At 40.3% G+C, this 16743-nt stretch overlaps 2 protein-coding genes and 1 pseudogene across 3 annotated transcripts in view; 1 reads left to right on the forward strand and 2 right to left on the reverse strand.

Annotated features, from left to right (window-relative positions):
- The window catches only part of MMP26 (matrix metallopeptidase 26), a 287646-nt gene that overhangs the window by 86510 nt on the left and 184393 nt on the right, over window positions 1-16743 (forward strand). The gene's annotated exons all lie outside the window — the stretch shown is intronic.
- On the reverse strand, window positions 2475-2968 carry OR52Y1P (olfactory receptor family 52 subfamily Y member 1 pseudogene; annotated as a pseudogene).
- OR52R1 (olfactory receptor family 52 subfamily R member 1) lies at window positions 12140-13087 on the reverse strand. The gene has a single exon (NM_001005177.3). The coding sequence runs from the start codon at window positions 13085-13087 to the stop codon at window positions 12140-12142; it is 948 nt and encodes a 315-aa protein (NP_001005177.3).

The following is a 16743-nucleotide window of genomic DNA, read 5'->3' on the forward strand; positions in this document are numbered from 1 at the left end:
ATTAATCCTTTAGATTCCAATAAGACTGCTGATTGACATCTTATCCAAGTCGGAGACCAATTTTTTTTCCTAGTAGAGGACTCTATAACCCATCATTTAAGAGAGTTTTACTAACTTAGTTGTGCCCGAACCTTGATCTCTGTTGGAGTGTTGAGGTCTTGCCCTCATCTCTCCTGATCAAGCTCCCACTGTGTACCCTAGGTCTAGTGCAAAGCAGCTGCCTAATTTCTCTGTATTTTAGATCACTCTCTTGGGTCATTATATTGTTAATACTATCACAACAAATTGTTCCTGCCTTGTTACCTTTACCAGCTTTTGCTCTTACTGTTGCAATTTATTTTGTCTTATTTCTCTTGTGAGGTTCTTAAGAGTGTAGAGTTCTCCATTTCTCTATGGCTATAATTCTTAGAAAAGTGCAAGATGCAAAATAATATATAATGAATTGAGTATTTCAAAAAGTTTGGGCTCTAGGACTAGGTCCCCTGTGCTTGTGTCCAGTGTTGGGTTCCAGATTTCTTTTTTCTCAGATTCCTGCTTCCCAGTAGGAATCACTTCACCCCGAGTCCTTCCCAGCTTAACTTCTCCCTCTGCTATCTGCTTGTTGTTTTTCTAGCAATCACCCTATCTAATTGTTTAGGTTTTCTTTGGGTCTTTAGAAAAGCATAATGTAGTAGATTGTGAGATTTTATAGCCTGAGTTCAAATCCTGGATTTTACCTACTAGCTGTGTAGCCATGCTCAAATTAATTAATATATGCTTCATATTCCTCATCTTATCTGTACAATGGAGATAATAGCAACAATACTTTATAGAAGTGACAAGAGGGTTTAATAAGTTAGTATACTGATAACAATAATAACAGTCTATACTTGAAAAGTACAAGTGTTTGACTCAAAAAAAAAAAAGGATGTGCTCACACTAACACAAACTCACAGTTCAGTTCACAAAGACAGACACAACCTGAAAGAAAACACAAATAGCAAATAATGATAATTATGGAATTATTTCCTTCGGAGGCAACTTCTCTCTTAAAAAGGAAGAGTTTTTAACGGGCCTAAGTACAAAACACCCTATCGCCCTCCCTCCAGCCCCTAACAAACCCTTAGCAACATATTTAGGGAGAGAGATTTTTGACAAGAACCACCAGGTCACTAGAATGTCTAGTTTGATCATTTTAAGTGACTTTGAGAGTAAAGAGCCTTGTTTGTGGGTTATGCAGATTTTCTCTGTTGTCCTGAGGAAAGAATGAGAGAAGCAATATCCATTTTCACTGTCTTGGGTCAGAATAAGAGAACACACACCCCTCAGTAGAATGCACTACTTATCAATAGTACTTGGGTCATTAGAAAACACGAAAATCCGATAGAGAGTTAAAAATCAAAAACTGAAAAGCAATCCTATTGTCTGGGTAGAACATGAACTTCTGTTATCACATACATGGCTTACAGTTGGGAAAACAGTGATCCTTTAGCTGCCTGAGGTTGGTCAGAGGTCTTTAGGTGGACATACAGAGAAAAGAAGAAGGAGCGGGGATTATATGTGTTGTTGTGTATTCGTTGTATCAGAATTTACTGGATACTTGCTATGGCCAGCCAATTGATAGTTATTTTATATGTTTTATTTTATTATTGCTCTATAAAATGAGCATATTCTCTTACGTTTGTATCAGTAAAAACAAGCAACTAAAATTAGAGTGATTATCTCAAGTGAAACAAGACTTAAGTAACAGATTTAAGTGACCTATCTTACTGATAATTAAACCCATGTGATTCCAATAACCCATTTGAATGGGCGGGTGTGTTTAGAAGCAGTATCTACAACAAGACTATTTGTATTCCTACTTTTACATAAATAATCTCATTTAATTTTATAATCACCCTTTGATGTAACTATAGTTCCAGGTATTATAAATAAATTGAGATGATGTCTCCCCTGTAATTTCATCGGATATTACCCCTAGTTCTTTACTGTGAGAACTCAGTCTCTGGTGCAAATCTCCTTGAGGAACACAGAAGCAACCAAACTCTTTGGTGTTTCTATTTTTTTTGTATCAACTAAAACTTGTGGCTTTTACAAATTGATAAAAAACGAGAGACTTATAAATAAATTAATAATTCAATGAATTTTGCTTGCTCTAATTAACGTAAATGAAGAGTCAAGGTAGTCTTAGGAAAATCCAGAATGTAGGATTATTCTATCCATTTTCCTAAGACATTCTATGTCTGTGTGGAATCATGATAAATTAGACAGCATTTTAAAAACAGTACTTGAATAGGGAAGCATTACATTTTTCATGCCATAGTTTCCTGGATCCTTGCTCTTCAAGGGTTTACATCCTGAGAATTACTCACATAGATTATTTCATGAAATTTTCCTTAAATAAAATTTAATAACAGCTTGGGATGAATTTGGTTATTTATACGTCTTTGGTCCTTGATTAACAGGAATAAAGAAAATCAAGTTGGTGATTCTATGGCAGGAAATTTTCCCACAAAATCTCTGTACCATGTTTTCTTGGATATGCTTACTCTTTACCCCACAGGTGATGGTATTGAACATGGAAGGCACTAATGAGTAAAGGATGAGCAAGGAGATGGGAATCACTGTGAGTGTATGGTAGCAAAAGCAACAAGAGAAAAAGGAGTAGAATACTGAGATGTGCAGGAACAGGGTGACACAAATGTGGAAGGCATATATGCTAAATACCTTGGGCAGAGATTCTCTGCAGGTAGCTACAGTACAGCCTGCAATGTCTGATATCTGTGGTTCTAATGACAAATATATCAAATCCAACCACAGAAAAGGCCATAAGAGACCACAGGTACGGACTATATATGTGATGTCTGCACATACCAGATTCAGCATGACCACTTGCTCATAGTAGGTCTAGGGCAAGATCTAGCTGAGGCAGAAGGGCATCTAGGAGAACATGAAGCAAAAGGGCTCATTCACAGTACACTCTGTGTCATTGTGAGAAACACACTCACCTGTCCAAACCCAAAGAATAGACTCAGAGACAAGGAGAACAATAGATACGAGGCTTTTAATGGAGGTCTTGCAAGATCGGGTCTCTGGTGAGCAGGCATACCTGGTACAGTTACAACAAGCAATTTATCCCCTAGTATGCAAGTCCCCCACCTAGTTCCTCATAGGTTGAGTACTATGAGGTTGCAATCTTCCTGGATGTTGCATATATTTCTTTTCTTGGTCTTTATTGGTCGTTGGGTTGGAGCTTTAGGTATTTTCTTTAGGGTCTTCTCACTGCATTTTGTTGCAGCTTATAATGCATTGCAATCATTGTCAGCTCAGGGACTCTTTAGGTATTTGACCTATGACCCAGGCGGTTAGGCAAACTGTTAGGAATAGATAAGGTGGGCTATTTTGCAAGCTAGTAAACTCTCATTCTAAGCTAAACCCTTTGGTTCGGGTGAGGGTAACCAAGCAGTCCCGACAAGCAGGTGCTGGCTATTAAAGCAGAGGCCTAGAGTATCCTGTTCTTCCATAGTTTGCAGGTCCAGGCCTATTCCATGTACTTTGTCTTGAAAATAGATCACCATATATGTTATTTTCTGCATCATCACAACTGTTCTCGGCTTGACAGCCAAGAACGGTCAACACCCTGCAAAATGGCAGGGTGAGGTGGAAAGCAGATGAACACCTCTACTGTCCAGATGGGAACATCTCATGACCACCTCTGACCAACATGGGAGAGAGTATGAATGAATCAGACTAGCATGGTTCAGGCAGCTATAGAAGTTGAATTTATGGGCTTAGAACCAATAAAAGGATAATGTCTTAGGTTATGTGTAAGACCACCTCACTCATCAAACTTAGAAGCATCAGAAAGAAATATATGTGTTCCTAGAAGTAGTTAATGCAGGTCACATGAAAGAAGGGCAATATTAAATACAGCAGCCACAACAACAGCTGATAAAGCACAGGAAACGGATCCAGAATTGGGAAATCTGCCACCCTGGAAAGACACAAGAAGCAGGTGTGTGTTGTGTGGGGTGGGGGCTTTAGATCCCAATGGTGGTATCAGAGGATGACTGCTGCCCTAACATTTGGGGGAGAAACCTATCCTCTGAAGAGACCAACCAAGTAATAAACACATATTATTTCCGAAAAGATTGGGAATTATGAGGGCCAAGTGATTAGAAAATTGTCTGAACAGGAAACTACGTATCATATGTAAATCAACACACATTTTTTACTCAATTAAACCTAACAAAATTGGGCTACATCCAGTTTCAATAATGTTTATCAATCACAAGCCGAAATTTATAGAATGAAGAATAAGCATTTCAAAGGTTAAATGTCCAAATGGAAATGAGTCACATTAAATGCTACATTAAACATTAAACATAAGAACACTTGTCCTTTGTTTCCACATAAAAGTCAATTACATCTAAAAAAATTACTTTATTATGCCTGTGGGCAGGTCTAAACCTTCTTTTATTTTATGCACATGAAATTAAAATAAATTGGAAAAATCAAGAAGATGGTGGGAGAGGACGAAGGGGACAGGGAGAGAGAAAGAGAGAGAGAGGGAGAGAGAGAGAGAGAGAGAGAGAGAGACCTAACAATCAGCCACATTATTCTTACATTGTTTTCATTTCTTTATAGCATCCTAAAGATGGTTTTCATGATTCTGCCTCTTTGAACTGGGGCCAGTTCTATGCGTCAGAGTTTCCTTTTTTTCCCTTTGGAGCCCATTATTTTTTCCTAAGAGTTTCAACAGGACAAGTCGCCACTCTGAGTTTGCCCAGAATTCCTTAGTTAAAGCACAGGTGGGAGATGGCTATGTCACGTAACCTACAGCTGCAGTTCCCGGGAAAAGTAGAGCCTGTCTGTTGCTCTACAGCATCGCTTGTCTCAGAAGCAACTTGGCTGTTTCTCCTGGTTCTCTTATGGCTCATTGTCTTTGCCAATGCTGATTCCACTGCTTTAAATTTCCTTTCCGTGTTTATCAATCTAATGAATTAAAACTTCTCAATTTACAATACAGAATAAACATTACCTCTTTAGGGATATCGTTTCTGATCCTCAGATAGAATTGCCTTCTCATTTGTATCCTGTTCATGAAGTCAATATATTACTTGAAGTACATGTATTGCATTTCTGTTCTGTTTTCAAGTCTATCTTTCCTGACTACATTGTAAGGACTAAGTCCAGTGGTTAGAGTCTGTCTTCACCATGCCCAACATAGCTGCATTCTGGATGTTTCAGGACATTGATCAATAAATCTTTCGTATCAAGTACCCCTTCCAAGAAGGAATTCATAAATATACAGACTTTTAATATACACATACTTTCTCTGTGTTGGGAGGTAGACAGGTCTGATAGGTGATTACTGTTTTACTCTGAGAAGAGAGGAAATAGAGACAAAGTTGCTTGGGCAGGGAAGGGTGGGAATTTCTCCAGTCACACACTGAGTAAAGGCCTGAGCTGGGACTCCTGGGAGATGCCAGGTCTCCTGCTGCTGCCGCAGTGCTTCTCCTCCTTTGCTATACCTAAGGCAATCTCAGCCCTAATGTCCAGGAACCTTGGGAAAAGGATAATACCTCAGGGCTAACTTCTTCTGTAATTGCTCCTGGAAGCATTGCCATTGTCAGTGAGTTCATAAACAACAGTGCACTTCGGGCTCCTGTACTCACCTGCTCAGTGAGAGTGAGCGCTCCCAGAGAACCAATACAGTGACTTGCTCACTTTTTAAAATCCTATCTGAGATCTCTTTAGAACACAGCTTTCATCATTCACATATTTATTCATGTAACAAATAAACTTGTCATATTTAACACTTCCCCTATTCCAGGCTGCTAAGTGCTGGGCATACAGCAATAAGAGTGATTTGGTGGCAGCTCTCAAAAAACTCATAATCAGTTGAGAAACAATTACAAAACATGACTGTTGAGGGTTAGTAAGACAGAAGACACATTGAAGCATTCAATGAAGTTCCTGAAGAAATGAAAGAATGAATGAATGAATTTTCATCCCATGTGTGTTTAATAAAACCAGCTTCATAAAGTTCTGTTGGTAACTCGAGCCACATCCCAGTTGGCCCACAGCGTATGTTACCACTTGTTAGGCTTCTCTATTCCTTTCCTGGAGCAACATTTACTCATTCATGAGTGGACTTTCCCTTCCTAATGTCTTGCCCACACCTTCCTGCTGCAGAGACTGTGCACTATGATTGCTCTGTTTCTGGTGGCAAGAGAACTCCTGCTGCAAATCTGGTTTAAACATCCACTGAGCCCTTTCTATTCAGTCAGGAAACCAATTAAAGTGGGGAGATACAGTGAGAAGGTATCCTTTCCCTAACCCCTCCCTGTAGGCCTTGATCCTCTTTTCAAAGCATGAGGTTTCAAATGGAGCTGGCACATTCAAGAAGCAGAAATTGGCCCAAATAAAATTTATTTTTTAATATTTCCCTTAGGTACAGTTTTGCACGACTCCAGGGATATCATTAATTTGGATTACAATGTAAGCATCTCCTTGGAATTATACATCTCCTTTAAAGTTTTTGAAAGACTTCTAGCTGATTTCTTAGAATTAATTCCTACCCAGGAGCTCTGATTTTTGCTTATTTGTTTGCTTGTTTTTCCCATTCTCTGCCACTATTATACTTTCTGAGTCAGAAGTAATCCAAAAGGTGCTACTTATGTTATTTGGTTTCTGTTTCCTCATCTACAAAGTGGAATTGGATGATTACATTGACTTCACATGCTGAAATGCAGTGATGCATTTTCTGCATATTGACCTGTGGGAAATATTAGGGCTGGCATCTGGAGGACTTCCCAAAACTAGAGAATTTCAAATCTCTTTTACGACGGCCCATACTTAAGATAGACATGTTGAGAACTGGAAACCAAAGACTGACAGTCCAGATTCATCAGGGGTGGGGATGGGGTGAAGGGAAGAGACAAGCTCTGCAAAGTCTCTTTACACATCACCTGGACCTTTCTTTCCTTCCACCTCTGGCCTCAGAAGACAGAGCAGGATGAGCCAGTGACTTCAGGATTAGCAGACCAAGACTAAACTTCAAAATTTTTCATGTCAAGGTGGGACTACAGGACCTCACCCACCTTCAGCCTTCGGCTTTATCATCTTCCAGGGGAGGTCTAGACCACGGGTCTACCTACATGGCATAAATACACACAATACTCAAAATGCAAAGTATTGAAAGTTTATATTTTAGGTCTTTACTGACATGCCTCTACTCTCCATTGAACGGAAACATACTGCTTTGCATGTACTTATTGATGCCTGCACTCTGCTAGGATTTGCTGAAATCTGAGGTAACTAAAGCACCATTTTTTCTCATGGTGTGCACAGCATGGAGGCTGACACACACCAGATCATTATGGCATAGAGGAGGAAGTGGGTATGATGAGAACAGAATGGAACAAATACTGTGGGAGCACAGAGATGGGTTCTAAGGAAGAGATGTGAACTTTTAGCTCTGTATTCCAGGCACTAAGCATTACACTGGAGAAACAGTTATTGGTCAAAAATTGCTTGTTGATTTGAGTGTGAAAAAATAATAACATTATGTTTGGCTCTGTGCAGAGTAGAAAATACTGATGAAGCTTTCCCCTTTTGGAAAGTACTCTAAAACGGAGCCCTGACATCACAGTTTGGTTCTAAGTCATGTTTGAAAACCACGAAAAGCTGATGTACCAGGAGCTGCCTTTAATACGGTTTTGTCTGGCCTTTTCTTAGTCACTGTGATTATAGATTTGTTTATTTGAGGGAAGAAAGGCACCGTGAGGTCTCTGCCCGCCTACAAATGGAAAATGGAGTCCCTCAGTCAACAAGCTCACTTGATAGCTTCTGTAAATGTTTATCTTGTTAGTCCATTGTTTTGCTTTAAGAAAATACCTGAGACTTTAAGAAAATTACCTCAGGGTAATTTATAAAGAAAACAGACTTAATTGGCTCAGGCTGCAGACTGTACGAGCATGGCACCAGTGTCTTCTAGGCTTCTGGCAAGGCCTCAGGATGCTTGCAATCATGGTGGAAGGCAAAGAGAGAGCTGGCACATCACATGGTAAGAATGGGAGCAGGAGAGAGAAGGGGGGGGTCTCAGGCTCTATTAAACAAGAAGCTCTCACATGAACTAACTGAAGGAGAACTCACTCATCACCAAGGAGATAGTGCTAAGCCATTCATGAGAGATCGACCCTCATGATACAATTACCTCCCACCAATGTTGGGGATCACATTTCAACATGAGATTTGGAGGGTACAAACATCCAAAATGTATCATTATGCCCTGGCACTTCAAATTTTATGTCCTTCTCACGTTGCAAAATACAATCATCCTTTACCAATAGTCCCCCAAAGTCTTAACTCATTCCAGCAACAAGTCCAAAGTCCTAAGTCTCATCTGGGACTCATCTCCTTTCACCTATGAGCCTGTAAAATCAAAACAAGTTATTTACTTCCAGCATACAATGGTGGTACAGGCATTGGTTAAATATTCCCAATCCAAAAGAGAGAAATTGTCCAAAAGAAAGGGGCAATAAGTCCCACACAATTCTGAAATCCAGCAGGCAGACATTAAACCTTAAAGCTCCAAAATAATCGCCCCTTACTCCATGTCCTTCATTTAGGGCATATACTGGTGCAACAAGTGTGCTCCTTGGGAGCTTGGGAAGTCCACCCCTGTAGCTTTGCAGGGTGTGGTCCCTGTGACTGCTCTCATGGACTGGAGTTGAGTACCTGTGGCTTTTCCAGGCTCAGGATGCAAGCTACTGTTGGCTCTACTATTCTGGGATCTGGAGGGCAGTGGCCCCCCTTCCACAGGTCCACTAGTCAGTGGCCCAGTGGAGACTGTGTGGACACTCTGACACCACATTTCCCTTCAGCGCTGGCTTACTAGAGTCTCTCTGTTAGTGTTCTTCCCCTGCAGCAGGCTTCTGCCTAGGCACTCAGGCTTTCCAGTATATCCCCTGAAATTTAGGGGGAAGCCTGCAAGCCTCCTTCATGCTTGCTTTCTGTGTGCCTGCAGACTTAACACCACATGGAAGCTGCCAAGAGTTACAGCTGGCACACTCTAGAGTGGCAGCCCAAGCTGCACCTAGGGCCCTTTGAGCCATGGTTGTAGCTGGAGCAGTCAGGATGCAGGGAGCAGTGTCCCAAGGCTACACAGGAGAGTGGTCCCTAGGCCTGGCCCCCAAAACCATTTTTTTCTTCCTGGGCCTCTAGGCCTGTGGTGGGATGGACTACCTCAAAATACTCTGAAATGCCTTCAAGACCTTTTTTCCCATTGGCTTGGATATTAGCACTTGGCTTCTTTATAGTCATACTAATCTCTCTAGCAAGTGATTTCTCCAGAGCTTACTTGACTTCCTCCCTGGAAATGCTCTTTCCTCTTCTATCACATTGCCAGATTGTGACTTTTCCAAATGTTTATGCTCTCCTTCCCTTTTAAATATAAGTTCCTACTTTAAGTCATTTATTTGCTCCTATATCTGATTGTAGCCTGTTAGATGCAGTGAGGCCATCTCTTGCATGGTTTGCTGCTTAGAAATTTTTTATTCCAGATACACTAAGTCATCCCTTTTAAGTTCAAACTTTCATAGGTCCCTAGGACATGGACACAATGCAGCCATGCTCTTTGCTCGGGTGCAACACAAATGACCTTAATTCCAGCTCCCAATAGCTTCCTCATTTCCATCTGAGAACTCATCAGCCTGGATTTTACTGTCCATATTTCTTCACTTCACTTCAAGTTCATGTGGACTTAGTTCATTTCTTCACTTCAAGTTCATATGAACTTCACTGCCCATATTTCTATCAGCATTTTGGTCACAATTATTTAACCAGTCTCTAAGAAGTTCCAAACTTTCCCTTGTCTTCCTGTCTTCTTCTGAGTTCTCTGAACTCTTCTAACCTCTGCCCATTACCCAGTTCCAAAGCAGCTTCCACATTTTCAGGTGTCTTTACAGCAACTACCCTATACTTGGTACAAATTTCCTTTGTTAGTCCATTGCATCACGATAAAAAAATATCTGAGGCTGGGTTATTTATAAAGAAAAGTTTAATTAGGTCCCAGTTTTGCAGGCTGCACAAGCATGGGTGCCAGCTTGTTTTTGGTGAGGCCTCAGAAAGTGTGCAATCATGGCAGAAGACAAAGGAGGAGCTGGTACATCACATGGCAGGAGTGGGAATGAGAGAGAGAAGGGGGAGGGGGAGGTCCCGGACTTTTTATTTATTTATTTATTTATTTATTTATTTATTTATTTATTTATTTATTTATTTGAGATGGAGTTTCACTCTTGTTGCCCATGCTGGAGTCCAATGGCATGATCTCTGCTCACCGCAACCTCCGCTTCCCCAGTTCAAGCGATTCTCCTGCCTCAGCCTCCTAAGTAGCTGGGACTAGAGGCGTGCACCACCATGTCCAGCTAATTTTGTATTTTTAGTTGAGACCGGGTTTCACCATGTTGTCTAGGATGGTCTTGATCTCTTGACCTCGTGATCCGCCTGCCTCGGCTCCCGAAGTGCTGGGATTACAGGTGTGAACCACCGAGCCCAGTTAGGACTCTTTTAAATAACCGGATCTCGCATGATCTAACTGAGAAAGAACTCACTCATCACCAAGGAGATAGTGCTAAGCCATTCATGAAGGATCTGTCCCCATGATCCAATCCCTCCCACTAGGCCCCACCTCCAACACTGGGAATCACATTTCAACAGATTTGGAGGGGAGCCAGGTCCAAATCATATCAACTACAGGCACATTTGAGTTAGTCATATGCTTTATATTTTGGACATAAGGATTCTTCATGTTATAATGAAGTTAGTCATCTATTTTCATTGGTTCAGAATATTTAAGTTTACTTACAATCATGATAGAGTAATACAGCTTAACTAATTAATGTCTATATTTGGGCTGGAATTGCAGGTATTCATTGTTTTGATTTTGGGTGGAAATCATGCAAATTAGATGTTCTGTTTGTCAGTTTCTTTTGTTCCCTATTCTATCCCCACCTTTTGGCAGAATGCTAGGTGAAGAGTAATTGCTCAATATATTACTTGAATAGAAATTTAAAATGTTACAAATATTTTATTTTTCATTAAAAAAGTGACTGGAGGACAATTTGCTATCTGTATAACAAATTTATCTTATCTGACAATATCCTTTACAATTTTAATTATGTAGGGTGATAAAAGAAGTCCTTGGGACTGAGAGGTATGGTATTGTATTCAATTTTGGAGAAATGAGATAAAAATGGACCTGGACCTGCAAAAGCCATCTTGTGATAAGTACTAGGTGAACATCACACTGTATCACATAAATATGTAAAATCATTTTTATCAATAAAAACATAATTAAATTAAATTTAAAAATACACTAAAGTATAAAAATATAATGAAAATGCCATAAGCATCACTACTCCAAGCAGCTATTTTTTATCATTTGGATATATTTCCTGAATTCCTTTCTTTACGTACGTATTCCAGTATAGAATTGGTACCAAGCCTTATGGGCGATAGTTTTTCTTTTCAATTTAAGATTATATCTTGCTTATTTGTCAAATTTTCAGATAGTCCTTTCAAATAAAATAGTTAAATGGCACCTGATATTCAACAGAGTATTGCTTCATCTGTAATCTTATAGGACAATATTTGAATCATTTTATATTTTGTTTTTATAAGGCATGATTTTATGCATGTCTTTGTACATATGCACTTTATTTTTATAAACATATTCTCAGATGAAGAAATATATGTACTTTTAAATTATTTGATGTAAATTTCTAAATTTCTTTTAAGCAAAGTGTACCTACTTCTACTGACAGTGTAAAAACAACTTTTTTACCTTAATCATCTGTGGGAGATGACATTCTTTTAAAATATTCACTGATTTAATAGGTAAAACTACTTTTATTGTTTCCATGTGATGATGAATATGTAGTCAACAAAGTTGTTCTTATCCATCACATCTCTCAGGTATCTCTTTTCTAGGTACCCTGAAAATTGTTTCTCTTGCCTCTAGAGGGTTGCTTACCTCTGAGCCAGTTATTTACAGAGCTGACTTAGTGATAATAAGTAATAGCCTGTCAAATGTTCATTAATGTCCCCACATTAGTGGGGCAATGTAAGTGATGGGGATACACTGACCCTTTGCTCAGGGGATGTTTCCACAACATCCTTGGATAACCCTGTCCCCGATCTGTTTGGTTCTAACTCCATAAATGATGGGGTTGAGCATGGGAGGTATCAGTAGATAGAGATTAGCAAACAGGATGTGTACAACTCGGGGCACATCATGGCCAAAGCGGTAGGTGAGGAAAGAAAAAAGGGCTGGGATATAAAGAGCCAAGATGACACAGATATGGGAGGAACGTGTGCTAAAAGCTTTGAGGCGGGCTTCACCTGAGGGCAACTGAAGCACAGCTCTCAAAATCATCACGTATGACATACCAATGACAATCATATCAAAGCCAGCCACAGAGAAGGCCACAAAGAGCCCATTCCCACGACTTATGCTTGTATCAGCACACACCAACTTCAGCACAGCCATGTGCTCACAGTATGACTGGGGAATGGCTTGGTGTTGGCAGAAGGGCATCCTAGACACCATGAAGCAGAAGGGGCTCACCCACAGCAGCCCTCTCAGCATCACGATGGTCCCCAGTTTGATCACGACCGATGGGGTCAGGATGCTAGAGTGTCGGAGTGGGAAGCAGATAGCCACGTAGCAGTCCAGGGCCATAGCCATGAGCACCCCAGACTCCACAGAAGAAAAGGCATGGATGAAGAACACCTGGATGAGGCAGGCATGGTACTGAATCTCATGAGCATGAAACCAGAATATGGCCAACATCTTAGGTTGAGTGGAGGAGGAGAGGACCAGGTCAGTGATGGCCAGCATGGCCAGAAAGAGGTACATGGGCTCATGCAGGGTGTGGTCAATTCTGATTACATGGAGGAGAGTGATATTTCCAACAACAGCCACAGCATACGTGGCACAGAACGGAAAGGCAATCCACAACTGGAAACTCTCCAGGCCTGGGATTCCAAGCAGGATGAAGGACACAGGATGAGAAGAGCTGTTCCCTGAAGCCAGCACCATGGACTGGTTAATATGGTCTCTGCTGGGAACGCAATCTACTCTCTGCAGATGATAACAATCAAAACAAGTGTTATTATTATATACAAGGCTTTTGGATGGGACTATTGGATACCAGGGTGATTGGGTTTGATTATAAACTAGAATAATTTCAACTGTTTTAATAAATAATATGTTACAACATGACATGATGTTACTGTTGTTTTTCGTACTTATGTCATTCAAAATGGGGTAGAACATACTAGTTGCATGTGTAACTGTTTTTTAAGAATCAATATTTTTCTTGACCAGGTGTGGTGGCTTACACCTATAATCCTAGCACTTTGGGAGGCTGAGGCAGGCAGATTGCTTGAGGTCAGGAGTTCAAGACCAGCCTGGCTGACATAGTGGAACCCCTTTTCTATTAAAAATACAAAAACAAAACAAAACAAAAAAAAACCCCATTAGCCAGGCATGGTAGAGCACGCCTATAGTCCCAGCTACTCAGGAGGCTGAGGAAGGAAAATCACTTGAACCCAGGAGTTGGACGTTGCAGTGAGCTGAGCTCACACCACTGCACTCCAGCCTGGGTGTCAGAGCGAAACCGCCTCAAAAAAAAAAAAAAAAAATGAATCAATATTTTTCTTGAAAGTAGCATCTGCTAAGGGAAAATCATCATGACAAGTAATATTATAGTAATTCTTGCTCTTCAGTTCTATAGAACTAACAGCTGATTAGCTTAAACTTTTCCACAGGTCCTTTTTAAACCTCTGGTTAGCCACTTGGCCAATTTCTCAGAGTAGGAAGTCAGTAGAGTTTGCAAGCCTATAGCAATTTATGTATTGCTTTGAAGTTAGCTTTGAATCTAGGTCAGTTACCACAAGGGCTTGGGTGGGAAGTTAATCTACTGACCAATTGTACATTTATAATTTAATTTATTATCTTTAGTGTAGGTTTCTCCTAGACAAGAAGTTAGCAAACTTTTTTTCTTTAAAAAGTGAGATCACAAAATTTTGAGAAATTGTGGCCTATACTGTCTGTTGCAGCAGATCAATTCAGCCATTGTAGTGTGAAAGTAACCATAGTCAACACATAAATGTGTGAGTGTGGTGTGTTCCAATAAACCTTTGTTTACAAAAATGGGTTGCAAGCAGGTGTTGGTTTCCAGGCTATAGTTTGCCAACCTCTGTCCTAGAAGAGGAATTTTTCATGAAGTCAGCTGTGAACCCCACACTATCTCTAGCATCTCTGTGCTTGGTGCAGAGTAGGAATTTAATAAAATATTCCTGAGGAAAGTAGCAAATAAATGTCATTATTCAAAGGCAGCAGACTCATTAACTGATTAACAATATTCTAAATACCCAGACAGAGCCCTATTGACTACCTTGAGGCCATAGAGGTTGCCCTGCTACAGTAGATACTGTGTGAGCCCCACTGTCTGTCTCTATTCATCTTACCTGAGTTTATTCCACTCTTTGAGTTTTTTGGTGATCACTATCAATCTCAGAATCGATGGCACAAAGCTCATTTTGTTCTTACCCAACACTTTTTCACTAAACTCAGTTGCCTGTGCTTTGTTTGAAAGCCTCAGTTCTTACCACCTTCAAAAGAGAAACACCTGGGCAAGAAAAGTATGCATTTAAATACCCATCACCTCTTGGAACTAATACATGTCTCATTCACTAGAAAAAAAAAAATCCTGAAAAGAATTTCTTCAAGATCCCCCAAAGGCCTTATCTTTTCCTAAATTTCTCTTACATTTGCTGAGGAGTGCTTTAATTCCAACTATGTGGTCGATTTTGGAATAAGTGCGATGTGGTGCTGAGAAGAGTGTATATTCTGTTGATTTGCGGTGGAGAGTTCTGTAGATGTCTGTTAGGTCCGCTTGGTGCAGAGCTGAGTTCAATTCCTGGGTATCCTTGTTAACTTTCTGTCTCGTTGGTCTGTCTAATGTTGACAGTGGGGTGTTAAAGTCTCCCGTTATTATTGTGTGGGAGTCTAAGTCTCTTTGTAGGTCTCTACGGACTTGCTTTATGAATCTGGGTGCTCCTGTATTGGGTGCATATATATTTAGGATAGTTAGCTCTTCTTGTTGAATTGATCCCTTTACCATTATGTAATGGGCTTCTTTGTCTCTTTTGATCTTTGTTGGTTTAAAGTCTGTTTTATCAGAGACTAGGATTGCAATCTCTGCCTTTTTTGGTTTTCCATTTGCTTGGTAAATCTTCCTCCATCCCTTTATTTTGAGCCTATGTGTGTCTCTGCACGTGAGATGGGTCTCCTGAATACAGCACACTGATAAATCTCTCAAGATTTATAACAGACTGGGAGAAATAGGGCTCAGACTTTATAAGTCTAGATTTAAACTGGAATCTTGACCATCCTGCCAGAGAATAAGATATAGGTTTGCTCAAAACAAATACTTGTATGTAGAGTATGGTAAAAATTCAAAACCACCTATATCCGGGGTCCACCTATATCTCTGTCCCCCTTTGCCTGTCCCAGACTTTCCAAGCTGTTTTGTATATTCTGTTTGAGCCGAAGTCTTTCTGTCACTTGCCCCTGTATATCACCCTCAAATTGTCGTGGGGACAGTCCCCCAGCTTCAGGGGTACCTTGAAATGCATACCCAGACCATCCTCATTGCTGTACGAGGCAATATAAGGGGTGCTGGCCAAATCCCGGAACTTAAAGTAAAATTTAAAAAATAAATAAATAAATAATTGTTATTTTTGGAGACTTAGCACTATAGACTTAAACAATTTTTTTTAATAAACTTACGTGTGCATGTGTCTTTAGAGTAGCATGATTTATAAACCTTTGGGTAAATACCCAGTAATGGGATCGCTGGGTCAAATGGTATTTCTAGTTCTAGATCCTTAAGGAATTGTCACACTGCCTTCCATAATGGTTGAACTAATTTACACTCCCACCAACAGTGTAAAAGCATTCCTATTTCTCCACATCCTCTCCAGCATCTATTCATGATAGCAAAGACTTGGAACCAACCCAAATGTCCATTAATGATAGACTGGATTAAGAAAATGTGGCACATATACCCCATGGAATACTATGCAGGCATAAAAAAGGATGAATTCATGTCCTTTGCAGGGACATGGATGAAGCTGGAAACCATCATTCTAAGCAAACTGTCACAAGGACAGAAAACCAAACACCGCATGTTCTTACTCATAGGTGGGAGTTGAACAACGAGAACACATGGATACAGGGTGGGGAACATCACACACTGGGGGCCTGTCTGGGGGTGGGGGGTTGGGGGAGGGATAGCATTAGGAGAAATACCTAATGTAAATGATGAGTTGATGGGTTCAGCAAACCAACGTGGCACATGTATACATATGTAACAAACCTGCACATTGTGCACTTGTACCCTAGAACTTAAAGTATAATTTTTAAAAAATGATAAAAAATTTGTTTATTTGCTTGTTCTTTTTCTTTTATTTTTGAGACATGCTTTCACTCTGTTGTCCAGGCTGGAGTGCAATGGTGTGATCACAGCTCACTCTAGCCTTGAACTTCTGGGTTTAGGTGATCCTCCCACCTCAGCCTTCTGGGTAGCTGGAACTACAGATACGCACCACAACGCCCAGCAAATTTTTTGTATTTTTAATAGAGACAGGGTCTCACTATGTTACCCAAGCGTGTCTCAAACTCTTGGG

This window comes from Homo sapiens, chromosome 11 (genome assembly GCF_000001405.40).
Source record: "Homo sapiens chromosome 11, GRCh38.p14 Primary Assembly".
Lineage (NCBI taxonomy): Eukaryota > Metazoa > Chordata > Mammalia > Primates > Hominidae > Homo > Homo sapiens.